General features: G+C 43.6%; 1 protein-coding gene across 12 annotated transcripts in view, besides 1 other annotated feature; it reads right to left on the bottom strand.

The window, feature by feature from the left end:
- The window catches only part of CACNB4 (calcium voltage-gated channel auxiliary subunit beta 4), a 266,397-nt gene extending 247,748 nt beyond the window's left edge, over positions 1-18,649 (bottom strand). For 8 of the 12 annotated variants that reach the window (XR_007081584.1, XM_011511797.4, NM_000726.5 and 5 more), the window contains exons 1-2: positions 18,431-18,526; positions 17,812-17,895 (exon numbers count right to left, since the gene is read on the bottom strand). Coding sequence is in view for 11 of the 12 variants with exons in the window: in XM_011511797.4 (XP_011510099.1) it covers positions 17,812-17,895; positions 18,431-18,493 (147 nt within the window). In the remaining variant the exon portion in view is untranslated. Of the gene's footprint in view, positions 1-17,811; positions 17,896-18,122; positions 18,246-18,430 lie in introns of those variants that run through there. The other 4 variants (NM_001330113.2, NM_001005746.4, XM_017004888.3 and 1 more) reach the window with 2 other exon arrangements.
- Positions 18,435-18,724: a silencer, noted in NCBI's record as "silent region_12010". NCBI's record gives its function as "represses an Ori minimal core promoter by ATAC-STARR-seq in GM12878 lymphoblastoid cells {active_cell/tissue: GM12878}" and the evidence as "EXISTENCE:reporter gene assay evidence [ECO:0000049][PMID:35858748]".

Below are 19,877 nucleotides of genomic sequence, written 5' to 3' on the forward strand. Positions count from 1 at the left end.
TACTTTTACCCTTGGACATTGAAAAATCTCATAAATGACCTTGCTTTCCTCTCTAGGTAGTTTCTAGAAAGTTCAGACTCAAATCAGTGAATAAGATTAGTGGCATATATTTTGTGTACTCTGTCTCATCTGTATTTTTTCCATCAGTTCATTGTATTCACCTACTGGTTTGGATGTTTTGTCCCCTCCAAATCTCATGTTGAAATGTGATCCCCAATGTTAGAGGCAGGGCTTACCTAGTAGGAGGTGCTTGGGTCATGAGGCATATCCCTCATGAATGTCTTGGTGCCCTGCTCAGGGTAATGAGTGATTTCATGCTTTGAGTTCATGCGAGATCTGGTTTTTTAAAAGAGTGTGGCACCTTCCCCCTCTTGCTCCCAATCTCGCCATGTGATATGTCTGCTCCCCCTTCACCTTCCACCATGACTGGAAGCTTGCTGAGGCCCTCACCAGGAGCAGATGTGGGCACCATGCTTCCTGGACAGCTTGCAGACTGCAAGCCAAAATATGTGAGCCAAAATAAACCTATTTTCTTTATAAGTTACCCAGTCTCAGGTATTCTTTTATAGCAATGCCAACAGTCTAACACTCTTGTGATATCATACACAAGCTAACTTAAGTCATTTCCAGAATAAAGCAGGATATAAATATAATGTTTACATAATGAATAAGGAGCATGTGCTACTGACTAGAAGGATGAGAAGGAAAATAGTCAAGTGCACCAGCTTACCAAGTGAATTAGTCAACTTGAGCTGCTGTAACAAAATACCACAGAATGGGTAACTTAAACAATGTGAGTTTATTTCTCACAGTCCCAGAGGCTAGGAAGTCCAAGATCAAGATACTGACAGAGAGCTGGGCTCAGCGTGCATGCCTGTAATCCTAGCTACTTTGGAGGCTGAGGTGGGAGGATTACTTGAGCCAGGAGTTCAAGTTCAGCCTGGGTAACACAGCAAGACCCTGTCAATAAAAAAGAAAAAGAAAAAAAAAAGATCCTGACAGATTTGGTTCTTAGTAAGGGCCCTTTTCCTGGCTTGCAGACAGCCACCCTCTAGCTATATTCTCACATTGTGGAGACAGAGAGAGCTCTGGTCCCCCTTCTTCTTCTTACAAGAGCACTAATTCCCTCATAGGGGCCCTACCCTCAAAATCTCATCTAAACCTAATTACCTCCCAAAGGCCGCACCTCCAAATACTATCACATTAGTTAGTGCTTCGACATATGATTTAAAAAAATATATCCACCAGAATCTACTTATTAAATAGTTAATGTTACTTAAAAACAGAAATTCCTACCTCATCTTTGCAATAAAGGCAACTTTGCTGAACTGTATGTGCAAATATCAGGCCCGTGGCAAACACGGAGTAAGCAGGAAAGTCAGTATTAAAAGTCCCTAATGCAGTGTTTTCAAATGATGAGAATCAACCTTGTGGTTCCACTCACCTTCAGCAAAGTTCCAATATGGCAACTTGTGTTATTCTTTATTATAGATTTAAAGCCCCATTAGCTACTTGTTCTTCCTGGTGGCTATAATAATTATAATAGCAGGAGCTATACTATTCCTCAGCAGACTTCCTCTTAATAACTTCCAGGATGCTTATCTGAGAACCATCTCACCACATTTCACAAATACTTCATCCTTGACAGCCCACTCTATTCTTTGCACATCCTTTCATGCTGCATGCATATACTTGAAAGAGTTATAAATTCCAGCTCTATCCCAAATTATCTTTCCTCCTGTAAACTCCACATCATCTCTTTGCTACATTATAAAAGAATGTCCTTATCTGAAGTTTCCAATATTTGATACTGAATGGCCGTATGTTGTATGAGTTCATCTCAGCACTTAAGTGACAAAGGCTTTCTGCCAAAGCTGCAAAATACAGTCATTCCTCAGAATCAGTAGGGAATTGGATCCAGGACCCTCCATGGATACCAAAGTCCTTGATGCTTGAGTCCCGCAGTCAGCCTGCAGAACCCTCAGACCTGAGAGCTAACTGTACAGTATATTCTACCAAAATGAATGAGTTGACCACATACATCTGTGGACACAGCCATAAAGTCCTATAATATTAGAACGTGATGGAATCTTAGAGGTTACCTAGTCCTCCCCATTCTCACCCCCGTTTTGCAACAAGGAAAACAGAGGCCTTAAGAAGTATTCATTCAGGCAGTCTCCCCTGTATCAATAGTTATGTGGTGTCCCAGAACTTCACTGTTTAGTCAGTTATTTGAAACTTGCTACATATTTTCCCATTAAAATAAATTGTTACAACAGAAAGCTAGGCTCCCAGATTAGTCCACAAAATCCTATTTAGGATAGATGGTGGTGATGTTGGTAGGCACGACCATGTGAATGTACTTAAATGTCACTGAACTGTACACTAAAAAATGGTAAAGATGGTAAATTTTCTGTTATATTTATTTTACCACACTTAAAACAATATCTAACTCATGAAGTGACTGAAAGTTGTGGTACCAGAGGAAGGAGGAGCAGAAGGAAGAAGTTCCCACGATCCTGCCTGGGTCCAAAATTCCCTTAGGAAACTGCCCTCCCCAATCTCAGCCACTGTGGGGCTGACCTCAATCTCATCTCTAGGTAGCCAACTGCTGCCTTAAGACAGTCCCCCTGGCCATAGTGTTGGTTTATGAGCCATTTCAGTTCAATGAGATTCAAGAAATGTGTATATGTATGTGTGTGTATGCATATGTGTGTACACATGCACACAAGCACGTGTACACATGTGTGTGTGTGCTGCCAGGGACAGTATTTAAAGCCCCATTAGCTGCAAAAAGAAAGCAAGCAAGGAAAGCAAGGAAGGAAGGAAGGAAGGGAGGAAGGAAGGAAGGGAGGGAGGGAAGGAGGGAAGGAGGGAGGAAAGAAGGCACCTCTCCTTTTTTATTCTGCTGGAACTATTGTAAGGAAGCCTAACTGGACAGGATCGTGGATAAATGGGAGATCCTGAATCACTGTGGCCACTGCTACCACAATAACGGGTGCTAAACTGAGGCCTAGACCAGCACACAGAAGAACACACAGTGTTAAATGAACCGCACAGAAAGAGTAAAGCTGCTGATGAAGCCACGAACTTTGGAACATACAATATCTGAAGTATAAAGTTTGCCTCTGAGCTTTCACTTGCATGAGTCAATAATTCCATATTTTGCGGTAGCCAATTTGTGCTGGCTTTCTGTTTGCTTGCAATGAAAAGATTCTTATCAGATACACTTCAAGAATAAAGTTTGAAATAGACCAAGTTTGATCCTCATCCACTTCCCTTTCTGAAAGCATCTTCCACAAGTCACTCTCTTTCTGCCCAGGCACCAGTGCCCTCCTCTGTCCCAAGGATCCCATTCCGATATCCTACTCAGGCCTGCACTAACTTTGAAAACGCTTCAGGCCCTGACATCACCTTCTCCTTTCCTCCTCCTCCTTTTACTCCCTGCTCCACCTCCACCACAAGTACAAATGCATAAAACAAAAATATTTTAAATATATAAATTACTGTGAGTATGGCGTAACTGAGCCTAAAAGAGGACGAAGAGTTTGTGTCTACATCAGTTCGTGTGGGTCGACATGAATGAGTACAAAAGTCACTGCTAGAAGCAGGTTTTAGGTGCAGTTCGGGGCAGAGGCTGAATGATGTCTGTTCCCCACAGAGAGATGCAGGTCATGCTGCAGAAGCTGGCTTTACAAAAGAATCTGGGAGACACTGGGCACAAGAAGAGTCACTCGAGGACCCAGGGGACACAGAGTGACCCAGAGTTGCGAAAGTCTGGAACACAGGTTGTCCAGGGAGGCTGAAGAGTACAGTGCTGAAAAACAGCACCTTAGAAGGAAGAAGCTGTGTTCTCACTGAGGAAGGCACAGCTCCTGCAGCAGAAGCCTCTTCAAAGGCTGGTGGCAGTAGACATCAATGAGCAGGGGAGCTGTGAGCACACGTTAAGACACTTACTGGACTCAGAAAAAATGGGCAACAGGTTAGGGGGAAGGTGTTAAGGTCCTATGTCTCTAGGTGAGAAATGTGAGCCAGCAATATATGGACTATTAATGTGGATACATGACAACTTCTGCTGCTGCTTCTGCTTCCTTTGTTTTTTGTTCTTTGAGGCAGGGTCTCACTGTGTCAACCAGGCTGGAGTGCAGTGGCACAATCATAGCTCACTGCAGCCTCAACCTCCTAGGCTCAAGCAATCCGCCTGCCTCAGCCTCCAGAGTATCTGGGACCACAGGTGCATGCCACCATGCCTGGCTAATGTTTTTTTTTTTTAATTTGTTTTGTTTTGTAGAGACAGGATCTTGATATGTTGCCCAGGCTGGTCTCAAACTCCTGGGCACAAACAATCCTCCCACCTCAGCTTCCCAAAGTGCTGGGATTACAGGCGTGATTACGGGCATAATGTCAATGTATACCCACAGGCTAGTGGGACATAGGGACATTTAGATTATACAAAGGAGAATTTAATAAGTGAACAGCCAAAACACAGTATAAGGGCCATGACAGAGAAGGAGACCTAGTGCCACATTAAAGAGATTCACAGAGAATATTGAAGACGGATTTTGACAAGTGGGAAGATTATCAAGTGGAAATGGGGAAAGCACTTTAAGGTGAAGGAATGGCATGATCAAGGGAGTGGAGGGATGAAAGCAGGGGTTACGTCCAAGTCTAGGTACCTGCGGCCGCCATGCAAGTACAGGCAGAGGGGAGGGAAGGGGAACACACTGGCATGAAAGGGCAAACAGATCCGGGGAGATGGGAGCACGGCTGCTTTGTTGGGGTGCGCTTTGTTAAGATGGTAAAATGAGCATACTTGCAAGCAATAAGTCAAATTCCCATAATGTATGAATGAATAGAGCCTCCAAAGACTGCTGGGAACATTTATCTTTTTAAAATAGGCTGCTTGTTAACCCAAATCATCTTGGAACTGTCTGAACTTCAGACAGTGGAGGAAAAAGAAAAGCAGTCAGGCAGTGTGAAAACAAGTATCTGGGGGCAGAACTACCCCTGGGCAGCCTCATCCTCCCACTCCTACCTTCCCATACCCACCATGAGGGTCCCGGCTGGTCTCCACAGCTCTTGCGGCTTCCTTTCAGCTTGTTCCCTTCTCAGCTCCCAAACCCACACTTGGGTGTGGCACTCCAAGGTCTGGCTTTGTGTTGCTGTTGTTGCTTTAAATAAGACCACAGTTGTGGAGGGAGGCCACAATAATGGCGGATGTTTTTAACATACGTGTATGTTGGACATACGTTTTGCCTGCCTGCACTGTCTTTTTGATAACCTGCTGCAGCCATTAAAAAAAAAAAAAAACAAACAAACAAAAAGCAGTGAATGTACTGAATGCTACTGCACCTATACTTTAAAATAAAATAGCAAATTTTATATTACATTTATTATACCACAATAAAAAATAAATAAATAAAACAATTGTTAGAAAACATACCAAGGTCCTTGTTTTTTATTCAACAATTAGCACTCTTTGGTGTCTTCTTACTAAAGAGGGGAAATAAATAAATAAATAAAATACTTGTAAATATGACATTTGCCTTTGATTGGGTTGGTTTACACCCTTGGTGTCTCTACTAATGGACAAACAGTCATAACAGTAATATCCATGGTACACATTTCTCTTACAATATCGATTTGACAGAGTTTTTAAAAAGATATTAGATATAGTTTAATTTTCATTTTGCATGAGCAAGAGAAATATGTATATTGTAATAAAGTAAATGAATACGACAATCAATACTACATGAAAAACAGAGCCTTCCCTATCAGAGTCCTCAACAAAGAAACAGAAAGAATAAAACACATCCTCAAACTAAATCACCCCTCAAGCTTTCTGAAATTAGCAAAGAATGTTTGCAGCTGACCTATTTCTCTCCCACACAACTGTGTTGATAATTGACTTTTGTCCCCCAGGGAAGTACTCAAATATAATTGAGAAGCACCTGCCACATAGAGAGTACAGTTTTATATACCTAATAATTCCCTTAAATATTGTATTTAGCTTGGAACTCAAGCACTCCGCTTTCTCCTTAATTGTATTTCTCAAGAAGGAAATGTTATAATTACCAAAGCAGAGTTACTATGAACATCTAGACAAACTAAAGGAAGCATTTTGAATTGTAAGTACCCAAGATATTTCTATTACTAGAAATTATTGAAAACGATGACAATAACCATTTCTATTGTTCATATACTTTTCTTTAATCCTGTCGATCACATCCTATTATAAAAACCACCCCCCTCTATAGATGGGAGCCACTCCAGGAAGACAAGAAGTCCAGGGTCAGGGGTTTGATTTCCATGCAGGTTAAAGAGTTTTGTGGCCGGGCGCGGTGGCTCACGCCTATAATCCCAACACTTTAGGAGGCTGAGGTGGGCGGATCACCTGAGATTGGGAGTTCGAGACCAGCCTGACCAACATGGAGAAACCCACATCTCTACTAAAAAATACAAAATTAGCCGGGCATGCTGGCACATGCCTGTAATCCCAGCTACTCGGGAGGCTGAGGCAGGAGAATTGCTTGAACTGGGGAAATGGAGGTTGCGGTGAGCCAAGATTGCACCGTTGCACTTCAGCCTGGGCAACAAGAGCAAGACTCTAACTGAAAAAATAAAAAAAAAAAGGCTAGGCACGGTGGCTCATGCCTATAATCCCAGCACTTCGGGAGGCCAAGGCCTGATCACCTAGGAATTCAAGACCAGCCTGGTGGTTTCATCAACATGGTGAAACCCCTTCTCTACTAAAAATACAAAAATTAGCCAGGCATGGTGGCACGTACCTGTAATCCCAGCTACTTGGCAGGCTGAGGCAGGAGAATCGCTTGAACCTGGGAGGCGGAGGTTGCGGTGAGCTGAGATTGTGCAACTGCACTCCAGCCTCGGCAACAGAACGGGACCCCATCTCAAAAAAAAAAAAAAAAAAGAATTTTGCCAAAAAAACACATTCAGCTTTATGAGCTGAGACTGAAGCTCCAAAATAAATAAGAATATGATCCATCCTATTCAATACTGTGACTGGAAAAGCCATCTCTGACACTGACTTAAGGAAAGGCAAGTCCATTTCTATCCTCACGCCAGCATCTACACATTTAGACCAGGGGCTATAACTGAAACTTCTCGGGCTGGTGTGAACAATATGTTAATGAAAAGATTTGAGCCTTGGCAACATAGCAAGACCCCATCTCTACCAAAAAATAAGAAAAATAGCCAGGCATGATGGTGCACGCCTGCAGTCCCAGCTACTTGGGAGACTGAGGCAGCTTGGGCCCAGCTTCTTGGGCCCAGGAGTTCGAGGCTGCAGTGAGTTGTGATTGTGCCACTGCACTCCAGCCTGGGTGACAGAGCGAGACCCTGTCTAAAAAAAGAAAGAGACAGAGAAAAAGAAAAAATCTGAAGCCAGTCACAAAAGACCACATGTTAATTTATGGTTCCATTTATATAAAATGTCCAGAGTGAGCAAATCCAAAAAGATAGAGAATAGATTAGTGGATGCCTAGGGCTGGGAGGTGGGGAAGAGGATGCAGAATGACTGCTAACAGGGATAGGTTTCTTCTCCAGGCCATGAAAATATTAGATTATGACATGCCTGAAAAAAAGAATGCCTTCCCCACTTAACACACACACACACACACACACACACACATACACACACACACACGGCAAATTAAAAAGCAGTGACTAAGGAACATTCTACTGGTAACAATGATCATTTTACCCACCTGTTCGATTCTAAACAACAATCAGCATTAAATTGTTAGCAATAGCATTGGGCCATTTAAGAAGAAAAAAAAGGAAGACGATATATTTATCTGCACAAGTTACTATGCATTTCCATTACTGCTAGATTTTCCATATGTTATCAATGAAACTGCTAAAAAAATTTTCCATAAGGAATTTTAAAATCTCATCATAATATATGGACACAGTAAGCACTATAAAAGTTAACCACCTCTAGTGATCCTACAACCCAGAAATGCATATTCTTTTCAAGTTTATGTTTACAAAATATTTACTCCCAAAACAAATACTACAACAGCAATTAAACTGCAACCTTGGAGAAAGATACATCCATCAACATAGAACAGAAAATGAGAAATGAAATAGACACGATTTGTCATCCAAATGATTACAGTGAGATGATCAGAAAAATTCAGTAGCCGTCGAATAAGTTTTACAGCCCTTACCTAACTAATGCTTTCAGATCGTGAATGCCATCCCTTCAGATTCAAGTAATTACCTCTGCTCTATTTATGTGTATAATAAGAAAAGACACGTTAAAGAAAATAGGGAAGTTTACAAAGGCGCATGTTTACTCTACTAGAAATGAGAACTATCTTTAAGGAATTCCAAAGCACTGTTTATATTCAAGCTAGATGATAATATATCAGCCTCATCTATTTCTGAAGGCAGGGTGCCCTAGCACACAGCTTGTCATTATTGTTACTTGAAAGCAGTAAAGCTACAGTATACCCTTAAAATTGAATCTATAATTCAGCTTTTTCATGAATTTCGGCTTCTACTTACAGTCCTACCTCCCTGAGTGCCCTCCTGTCTCCTCACAGTACACATGGTTAAATCCATGTGAAATTCCTGATGTGTCCATGTAGTCAAGTTCAGAACTGACACTCTTATAGAATGAAGAGCACTGGATTCACCTCATTGTTTTCCTGGTTCATGAAGTACAAGGGCAACTGTGCAAAAGCAGGACAATACTGACTGCTTCAACCAGAGTGTGTTTGGATTGGGGTTCGTTGGGGATAACAGCCCAGCTCTTCTTGAGACTTACCCATTGATGTATTCTAAGATGCAGAGGTATAGCAGAGTGTGTTCCCAGGGGTGGTCAAAGAGTGCTTTGCAAGCTTTGTCTTGCCATAGCCCACAAAGGAAATAATTGTGCAACACACCGGATTCAGTGGAAGTGAAAAACAGTCCAGAAGCTCAGCCTACACCAGGCTCACCCCACTGAAGGATCATCTCAGAGGATACATGTTTTGAGGCCTGTCACCCATTCTCTGCTCACACACTCTGCAGGGAAGAAAGCTCCAGCAAAGGGACAGAAAATAGAGAGATGGCACTGTTCTAGGAAGCTCTCTCTTCCAAAATATGGCTTAAAAAGCATGCAAAGCCAAGCGCAGTGGCTCATGCCTGTAATCCCAACACTTTGGGAGGCTGAGGTGAAAGGACTGCTTGAGCCCAGCAGTTTGAGACCAGCCTGGGCAATATGGTGAGACCCCATTTCTACTAAAAGTAAAAAAAAAGAAAAAAAAAAGCCAGGCTTGGTAGTGCACACCTGTAGTCCCAGCTACTTGTAGGCTGAGGTGGGAGGATCCCGTGAGCACAGGAGGTTGAGGCTGCAGGGAACACGACCCTGTCTCAAAAAGAAAAAAAGAAAGACAGAAAGCAGAGGCCAAACACAGAGGGTCACTGAGCAGAATGGGACCTGCATGCCCCACTCTCCACATGTCTGTAGAGTCTTCATGAATGTGAGTGAGTTGCAAGCTGTTCACCCTGGTTAGGATTTATGCTTTATTCTGAGTCAGAGCTTCAGAAATGAGACCAAAAATGGGCCAAGCTTTGAGGAAGATGAGTATGGACAATGCCAAGACCACACCCAGAAAAGATGGGTCAGACCCAGATTTGAGTGGCCAAAGGAAGGCCATTAAATAGCATTGCCTTTTGTTTAAACCTTGTTTGAAAGGGCAGTCTCTGCTTCCTTAATATCCAGGGTTGACCCTGTCTGGGGCAGCAGGTGGAGCAATTAAGGGGAGAGGGCCAAAGCCAAAGTCATTTTCAGCTTACATTTCCACACAGCTTCCTATAATTTTCTAGAAAAATTAAAACTTGAAGATGGGCGCAGTGGCTCATGCCTATAATCCCAGCACTTTGGGAGGCCGAGGCGGGCGGATCACCTGAGCTCAGGAGTTCGAGACCAGCCTGACCAACATGGTCTTGTCTAAAAATACAAAATTAGCCAGGCGTGGTGACACATGCCTGTAATCCCAGCTACTTGGGAGGCTGAGGCAGGAGAATTGCTTGAACCTGGGAGGCAGAGGTTGCAGTGAGCCAAGATCGCGCCACTGCACTCCAGCCTGGGCAACAACAGCAAAACTCCATCTCAAAAAAAAAAAAGAAAAAAAGAAAGATAAAAACTTGAATCAGAACTTACCTAAGTTTCAATAAAATTGTACCATTCTAAAACTAAAGGATAAATATTTATTCTACAGAAATGAAATTTAGGGTTGGGCATGATGGCTCACACCTGTAATCCTAGCACTTTGGGTGGCTGAGGCAGGTGGATCACTTGAAGTCAGGCATTCAAGACCAGCCTGGCCAACATGGTGAAGCCCAATCTCTACTAAAAATAGAAAAGTTAGCCAGGCATGTTGGCAGTCCCGTTATCCCAGATACTCGGGAGGCTGACGCAGGAGAATTGCTTGAACCTGGGAGGGAGAGATTTCAGTGAGCTGAGATTGGGCCACTGCACTCCAGCCTGAGCAACAGAGTGTGACTCCATCTCAAAAAAAAAAAAAAGTGAAATTTAGGCAATTCTATCCATCAGGAACAGAGACTCAGACATAAGTAAAAATGACTGGTTAACGGGTTAGCTACCCAGTAATTAGATTTCTTTCTTCATAAGCTCAGTTCAATTTATTTAAGCCCCAAAACAAGAAGAAGCACAGTTTGCCAAGAGCGACAGAGTTCTTTCTTGCTCTATCAGAGCAAGAGAAGATTCATTGCACAAAAAACTCACAAAGGAAATAAGCGCGAACTTTTTAAAGTTCATTGTAACTGGATTACACCATTTAGCAAGGAAGGTCTACTTACAGAGCAAGTAAAAACTTCCAACTTTGCAGATGAAAATGATTCAATACTGTCTACCATGCAGCTAAAATATAAAAATGGTTGTGCCCCAGCTTAGCCAACATGGTGAAACCTGGTCTCTACTAAAAATACAAAAATTAGCCAGATGCGGTGGCATGCACCTGTAGTCCCAGCTACTTGGGAGGCTGAGGCAGGACCAGCCTCCCAAGAACCCAGGAGGCAGAGCTTGCAGTGAGCCGAGATTGTACCACTGCACTCCAGCCTGGGCAAGAGTGAGACTCCTTCTCAAACAAAAATAAACATAAACGTAACTGGTTGTGCCCCTCCTTGGCTGTTTCCCTCAGATCCACTCCTCCCACTCCGCTGCTCTACTTTCCATCTCAGAGGGCCACTGCCTGCAGCTTGTTTCCCAGAATCCCAGGTCAGTGGGCTTCCAGAGAGGCTCAGCCAATGGGAGGAACTGGTAGAAGACTGGAGGGTGGAAGGAATAATCCTACAAGAAGCTAACCAAGCAAACAAAAATTCCATCCATGATAGAATTGGGAAGAAACCACAGTCTCTAAATTCTTCAACTGATGCTATGGTTCTTCACAGCAACCACGCAGATTCAGAACGTTTCCAGGATCTGAGAGGAATAAGCTCCATATGTCCTTGCATGTATCCACACCTGTGTGAGTTTGTGTGTTTGGCTTGTTTATTCAGGGATAAAGTGGATTGTGGTGAAAAAAACAGTAGAGTCTGAGCCAGGATCCCTTGTGTCTGTTCTACCATTATCTATTGGTATGACCTTTATGTCCTTGGGCCTATGTTTTATTCATCTGAAAAAAGAGACTGAAGTATTTTCTTTCTGCAATCTCTTCCTGTTCTAAAATTCTGTGATTCTAAGTTTATGGATAAATTTTGCATATATACATGCCTGTAGGCATATGATTATTCTTAGAGCTATGCGCAAAGCATATACCTTCTGTTGATGAATTTGCATTTCATCAGAGAAACATATCTATAACTGGTGCTCAAATTATAACCCCAAGAATTTGTTTGCCAACTTGTTTTATTCTAGTATCAACCTAAAAATCTGAATGTTTTAGATCTCTAAATACAGTGTGGTTCATTGAATTATTGTAACGATCATCTGATTAGCATACCTTAAAAAATACGAGGTTCCTTGTTCCAAGGTAGATGGTTCCAACAATGGCTGCAACCATATCTTCCATTCCATATGCTCTTTTTTTTTAATGAAATATTATTATACATTATTCTGTAACTTACTTTTTTCACTTGAATGCATTTCAAATGAATGTCTTAAATGCATTTCCATATCATTACACGCAGGGTGGCTTTATTTTTTTCTTTAATGGCTGAATAGTACTCTGTAGTATAATATATAGTAGTCCACCCTTAACCGTGGGGGATACATTCCAAGACCCCAGTGGATGCCTGGAACTACAGATAGTAACAAACCATATATACATTTACATATATATACATATATATATATAATGTTTTTTCCTATACATATATACCTAAGATGAAGTCTAATTTGTAAATTAGGCACAGTAAGAGATTAATAACAACTAATAATAAAACAGAACAATGTTAACAATATGTCATAATAAAAGTTATATGAAATGTAGTCTCTTTCTCATTCTCAAAATAGCTACTGTACTGTACTCACCTACATTCAGACCTCAGTTGACCGCAGGTAACTGAAACCAGGGAATGCAAAAATATGGATGAGGGCCCCAATGTACATTATTTGCTCATTTACTGACTGCTGCATACATATATTGTTTCTAGTTTCTCTGCTCAGTGTGATGTTTGCTGTGGATTTTAGTAGATAATTTTTATTAGATTTAGGGAGCTGCCTTCTCTTCTTTTTTTAAAATCACGTGCCTCTAGATATGCTCTATTCTTAACTTACAAAATTTATCAAATACTTTTTTGGCACCTACTGAAATCAACATATATTTTTCTTTAATTTGTTATATAAATTGAATAATCTTTACATTCCTGTTTATACTATTGGCACTGAATTTGACTTGCTGTTTTTTGGTGTGTGTGTGTGTGTGTGTGTGTGTGTGTATTTTTACCCATATGCTCTTTTATAACGTGACCTTGTTGCACCCCATCAAAAGATAGTCTGTTTTCTCTTTTGTTGCAACTGAGCAGGCTCTTGGACCTGTTTTGACTTGAGTTTGCAAGACAAGTGATACAGTGTAGCTTTCAAAACTGGGTCTTAGGAGAGCTGTGGCTTCAGCCTTCACTTCTTGGAACCTAGCCACCATATTATCCGGGAGCTCAAGCAACCATGTTGAGAGGCCCAGGTGGAGAAAAACTGAGCCGCTGCCAAAAGCTCTAGTTGAGTTCTCAGCCAGCAGCCAGCACCAACTGCCAACCACATGTGTGAGGCCACTCTGGACCTTCCAGCCATCCCAGTGCCCATATAACATCATACAATGCAGAACTGTCTGGTTAGTACACAGAAATAAAAAATTGTTGTTGTTTCAAGCCACAGAGTTTTGGGGGAGGTTAGGAGGCAATTTCTCCCCACTAAACAAAGCATTTAATGTTGGAGCAGAACCTCATGCCTAAAATATATCAAGTTAGTTCTCCATCCATCCACTGCTTCATTCATTCAAGTGTGTGTTTATTGAACATATACTATGCTAGATGCTGAGGACACAAAGATCAAATGCAGACATGTCCCTGTCCTTGTGGAACTCATACGGATGGGGAGACAGAATGTAACAGAGAAATCTAAGTACATGTTAAATAAAAGCGGTGGTGCTACTGAAAACTGGCACAAGGCCCTCTGGGAGCCCCTTGTTGGGGAACTGACTTTATCAGGAAGGTTAGAAGAGGAAGTGAAGACTAAACCCCCAGATCTCAGGGAAGATTAAAAGTTAACTAGGCAGAAGGAAGGACAACAACCTGCCACACAGAGGGCTCAGCATATGCAAAGGACCAGTGGCAAGAGGGAAGACAGTGTGTTCAAACTCTGTGTCCAGAGCTAAGAGATCATGGCTCAAGATGAGGCTGGAAGCAGGCAGGGGCCAGGCCAGGTATGACTTTGCTGGCCTCATAAGAGCAGACTTAACAAGGAAAAGTCAACAAACTATTCCCACTCTGATCAGATTTTCTCTTCAAACCCCAGTGGGAAGAGGACTAACTTGGAGTACTCAGCCGTATAAACTGTATGTGTAGTGACACCCATGGGTAGATATACTTATGGATATATAATAGATACTCGGGGTACATGGTCATTGAGCCCGCCCTCTCGTTCCTTGTTACATGTCACCGTACTGTTTGTAGACATCTCTGTCTCCATTGCTAGATTATAAAAATCTTTGAGTACAGGGGCTGTGTCTCATCCATCTTTTCATTCCTCCCCTACAATATCTAACATAGTGCTAGGCACATAGCAAATACTTAAGTGTTTCCTAAAACTTTAAAATATGACTAGATAATCCATTCATAAATAGCCTGTAAGAAGGGCTCTCCTGAAAGAAAATTCTATGGCCTCATTTGGAAAGCCACTCCAATGATGGCAACACTCTTAGGAAGGTCTTGCTGTAAAACATCATTCCTTTCTAATTTGGGCCAGTTCTTGAGTTTCATCCCCAATGAAGAGTGAGAACACTTCATCACATTTCCAAAGAAAGCCTTTGTGTGTACTTTGAAGATCATTTCTGGGTCACTCCTAGCTTTCTTTCCTTTCAGCGGCAAAGTACTTCATCTTCTCACCTTTCCTCAAAGAAGCCATTTATTTGCTCCCTGGATTCATTCCAAAACCTCCATCCCTCCTAAATGGTGGAAGCCAGAAATCTTGTAGACCAGAAACAAGGTCAAAGATTCCTGAGGGGCTTCATGAGCAGTCCTCAGAGTGGAAGCAGGCTCTCTTTCTCAGTCTGCTTGTTTTCCAGCCAATTCAAATGTTCATGTGTGTGCATGCACACATATGTGCATATATAGTCTCAGAAACACTGAAACTTTTTAACAAGCTCAAAGAACAAATATTGTCTTATTGGGTGAGTTGCCAACTGCCTTCTCTGCTTCACCAACAGCCCAGTCTTCCCCATCCAATGTAACACATCGATTTTTTTTTTAATGAAAGCTTTTCTCCATATTTTTGTAAATAATATGATAAAGAAACTAGCAATATATATATTTTTTGGTATTCCACTATCTTCTTCAAAGGCATCACAAAGACTGTGAAACAGCACCAAGAAATTTCATCACTCCAATGTATCAAGAATTCAAATATCAATAAATCACTGGTCATTCTACAAATAATGAGACTCTGTTTTTGTTTGTTTGTTTGTTTGATGGAGTCCTGCTCTGTCGCCCGGCTGGAATGCTGTGGAGCAATACTGGCTCACTGCAACCTCCACCGCCTAGGTTCAAAAAATTCTCCTGCCTCAGCCTCCCGAGTAGCTGGGATTACAAGCACACACCACCACGCTTGGCAAATTTCTTTGTATTTTTAGTACAGTCGGGGTTTCACCATGCTACCAGGCTGGTTTGAAACTCCTGACCTCAAGTGATCCGCCCACCTCAGCCTCCCAAAGTGCTGGGATTACAGGCGTGAGCCACTGTGACCAGCCCAAGGCTCTGTTAACGTAAGCAGCTGTTATGCTTTCATAAAAAATATTTTTTGGCATTGGGGTGATTTCAATTTTATCCGAAAGTTATTGTTAAACTGCATTTGTAATCATTTTCCTTATCTCATCAAAGAAATGTAAATCCCTCAGTTATTTTTATTGTAGCCAATACAGAAGTCTGTATGATGTCATTTGAATGAGATCATGTGTAGTATACTCAGTGAGTTGTAAAGTGCTCATAAAAATTAAGTAGCCCGGGCATGGTGGCTCACGCCTGTAATCCCAGCACTTTGGGAGGATGAGGTGGGCAGATCACGAGGTCAGGAGATAAAGACCATCCTGGCTAACACGGTGAAACCCTGTCTCCACTAAAAATACAAAAAAGTTAGCCAGGCGTGATGGCGGGTGCCTGTAGTCTCAGCTACTCGGGAGGCTGAGGCAGGAGAATGGCGTGAACCCAGGAGGCAGAGCTTGCAGTAAGCAGAGACTGCGTCACTGCACCCCAGCCTGGGCGACAGAGCAAGACTCCGTCTGAAAAAAGAAAAAAATTAAGTACTATTTTTGTGCCGAAAAATAAGATTGTGTATATAATACAATTACAATTAACTCCTGAATTTAAATTAGACCATTTAATCAAACCAATGAATTCCCATTTCATAGATGAAATATATTTATTTAAAAAAATCTACTTTGCTTTAAATTATTCCCAAAATTATTTAGCATGCAATACTTTTAACATTTCTTAAGCCAGCACATAGCAGCACGCTTTACAAGAACTTATATATACATCATCTCAATCAGTTACGGGCATAAATTGAGAAAAGAGTAAGAATATTAGAATATTATTTTGTTTGTGCTTGGAAGGAAGAATAAAGCATTAGTGCAGTTATGTAGATGAACTCAAAAGTTTTAGTCAAACAGCTTATGGAAAGAACTGCTGTGTAATTAGTATTTCCAAGAATTTGCAACAATGAAACACCACTAAAAATAGGCACCTACAAAATAAACACCAGCAAGACCTCAAACAGTTGCATAACAGAAAAATGTTTTTAAGATAAACAATATGTTTGCCTTATCAAATACATAATCTAAATACTGCAAAGGGGATAGAATGCACTTTTAGAATGAATTCGGAATCCAAAATGCATTTATTTCCATAATGTACATGCTTAGTGCTCGCTGAATTAAATGGTAGTCAAAATTTCCGCTTCTGCAGAAAGTGAAATTCTGCATAATAAATATCATCTAAATATGCTTTATAGACCCTTTTAGGAGAGGTCTGAGTTCAATTTTGATATCAATTCCTCGTTGATATGTTTAAATTGATGATAATCACTAAAGAAACACCAGAGCTGCCATCATAGGTTAGAAAACACATTACACAATACTGAGTGACCTAGAGGGAAAAGAACTTCTCAAGGTCACTCCAGCAGCCCACAGGAAGACCTGGGATAAAAGCCTCTTGGTGCGATGACCAATGTCTTCCTAGGTCACCCGAAACCTAGGACACACCCCGACAATTTCTGTTCCAAAGAAAGATCAAGGTGACTCATTGCATGATCTCTCTAGCACCCAGCAGCCAGGGGTGGTTTCATTAACAGCACATGGACAGTTGGAAAACTGAGGACCAATTTCCTGTGCCAAGGTGAAAGGCACCTAAGCATTGAGCATTACCAGCGATCCGGAGATCCCGAGCACAGACAATTCGCACTAGAACCACGCAGGAGAAAGCAAGCACTAAGAAAACAAACACGAAGTGAAGGCGCACCCAGACCCGGAGCTGAGTGCTGGCCTTCGTTAATTCCTATTTAACCAGATACAGCTGTCTTTCCCTAACTAAGCGAATCCAAGAAGCGGTCCTAAAGTGAGAGTAAACTTTCTGCTCAGTGTCTTTCTTTTGACCGGAGCTTGACGATCTCTCCCAAGATCCAGACAGATAAGAGTATTCAAATTAGGACAAAACAGAAGAAACCACTAAATCTCAACTCGAATCAAACCAGGTCCCCGGCCCCGAGGGGTCTGGTTACTCTAGGTCGAGTTATACGAATTAAAGACATTTCTCCACGCACCAAAGATACAACCAGACATATTTCCAGCTCTTAAATTCAACGTCCCTGACTTAAGCCAGGTCCCCACCGAACTGTCCACACACATGCACAAACTAACTTCCCGGGGCGGTGCGGAGACGCCGGGACGCGAAGACGTCAAGAGCCCAGGCTAGAGGGAGAGGGACTGAGCCCGAGCACCGGCCGAGGCCGGGAAGAGACGCGCGCGGGCTTGACCCGCAGCTCCCGCACGTGTGGGCCACGGCCGGCTCCAGGACCCCCGCGCCGCGCGCTCGGCCTCCTCCCCATCCTGGTCTCCCGCCTCCTTCTCATACCTGTCTGAGGATGAAGCTGGTCGAAGTGGTGCTGCCATCGGATCTTTTCAACCTGCTCCTCCGGGTTGTGGTGCCTCGGGCCACCTGGACTCGACACACGGGGGCCAGAGAGAAGCCGGTGAGGACCGCAGCGCAGAGCGGGGCGACCACCCCCGGCTGGAGTCCGCCTCCGGACCCGCTCCCTGGGGTCCCCTAGAGCCCGCACCCAAGTCTCCTCCGCGACTCCCAAATACAGCCCCCACCCCCACCCACCCACTGCAAGCCTCGACTGCTGAAAAGATGCTCGAGAAGAGCAGCCCGCAAGCACCCACCACATCCATTAACAAAGACTCTCAGGGTGCGGGGTCCGAGTCCCCGGCATCCGCTGGGGGAGGCTGCGGGCTCCGGAGCGGGAGCGCAGAGACCCGAAGGAGGGTGAGGAGGAGGAGGAAGAGAAGGAGGAGAAAGAGGAGGAGCGGGAGGAGAAAGGGACGTGGAGGAGGGGTGGGGGGAGCGGGGCCGCCGACTCCCGGGACTGGGGCCCCGCACGCCCGGCACGAAGGCGGGGCGCGCTAGGGCGGCGGAGGAGGTGTGAGGAAGGAAGAGGAGGAAGAGGAGAAGGGGGAGGAGGGGGCGGTACCTGCGAGGTGGGGGAGTGCGGCCCGTCCGCGGTCCCGTTCTTGGCGTAGGAGGAGGAGGACATCGTTCAGAGCCGCCGCATGGCCAGCCCGTGTGCGGTGGGCGGAGGGGGCTGGCCCCCGAGGCTGGGCTGCGGACGGAGGGGGAGGGCGCAGGACTTCCCCACCCGGCTCCAGGACCCGCGCCGGCGCCCAGGCTCCCTGCCCGCACTTCGGAGAGCGCGGCACCTTAAAGGGACCGAGGCGCTTCCCCCGCGCTCGCGGCGGGGTCCCGGGGAGGGGGCTTCTCGGAAACTCGCCTACCCGAGCGGATTGGGAGAAGCGCTCTCCCACCTAGCAAGCGCTTTACATCAGAGCTTCCAGAGGATGAAGGGAGGGGGAAATCTGGGATGGGGGTGGCAAGATTAAAATAGTCTGCACAGTTTAAAATGAGACAAAGGTGGCACGGTTCATGAATCAGGACTTGGGGACGGAAGCTGGTGCAGTGTGGCGGGAATGGGAAGAACCGAGCGGGTGTGTGTGTGTGTGTTTGCTGCACTGGAATTTTAAAAGGGCAAGAGCAGAGCCACCTTCCGCGACTTCACTCATCAGCCTAATGTGTAAGGCATGGGGTTTTGTGGCTTGCTTTTCGTCCGTGTTTTTGTATTGCTTTGGCAATTCTGTCCTTAGAGCTGCGAGTCACACACATCCAGGCAGCTGTGAGAAACCCAGCCAGCCTGAGTCTGACGGGAGATGCTGCCCCGCCAAAGACCAGTATGTCCTACGGAGTTTTGAAGGTCATGTTAGACCTGCTAAGAAGCAAGAGTTGGTCACTGTGCCTCCCATTTCTATGCGAATGGATATTTTCAAGGGGGAGAAACTCATCCTTGCAACCATACACAACGTTTGCCATTGGTTTCCTCCTGTAAATACATACAAGAGATTAATTTGTGATCAAATTAAAAGAGAGGGATTGCGGAAAGGAAGAATAAGTGCGAGGTATTGACAGAGGAATAAGAAGAGGGAAGAAAAGTATATGCAAATTCAAAAATAAAGAGACTCCGTTTAAATTAAAATATACTTACTATCTCAAATCGCTAAATCAGCTTGCATTCTAGGACTTTATGTTTATGGACACAACTACCATGCTTGTTTTAATAATTGCTTGGCTTTATTGAGGTCCTGGTTATATCTTACCATCCACCAGACACTTCCTTTCCATTCCTAATCCCTTCACTTAATCCAAACCTCTGTAACAATCTTATAACTAATGTCCTTGCCTCCAGGCTTCCTGGTGCATGTGCACGTATGCACATGCACACATACACACGCAGAGATTTCATTCCATCTACACACTACAGGCAAAACCATTTTCCTAAAATATCTTGCCCAAGTCACTCTTCTCTAAGATAAAGTCCAAACTCCATGGTCCAACAACTCAGCCTCTCCTGCATTTCTGATCACTCTCCA

This window comes from Homo sapiens, chromosome 2 (assembly GCF_000001405.40).
Source record: "Homo sapiens chromosome 2, GRCh38.p14 Primary Assembly".
NCBI classification, from domain to species: Eukaryota; Metazoa; Chordata; class Mammalia; order Primates; family Hominidae; genus Homo; species Homo sapiens.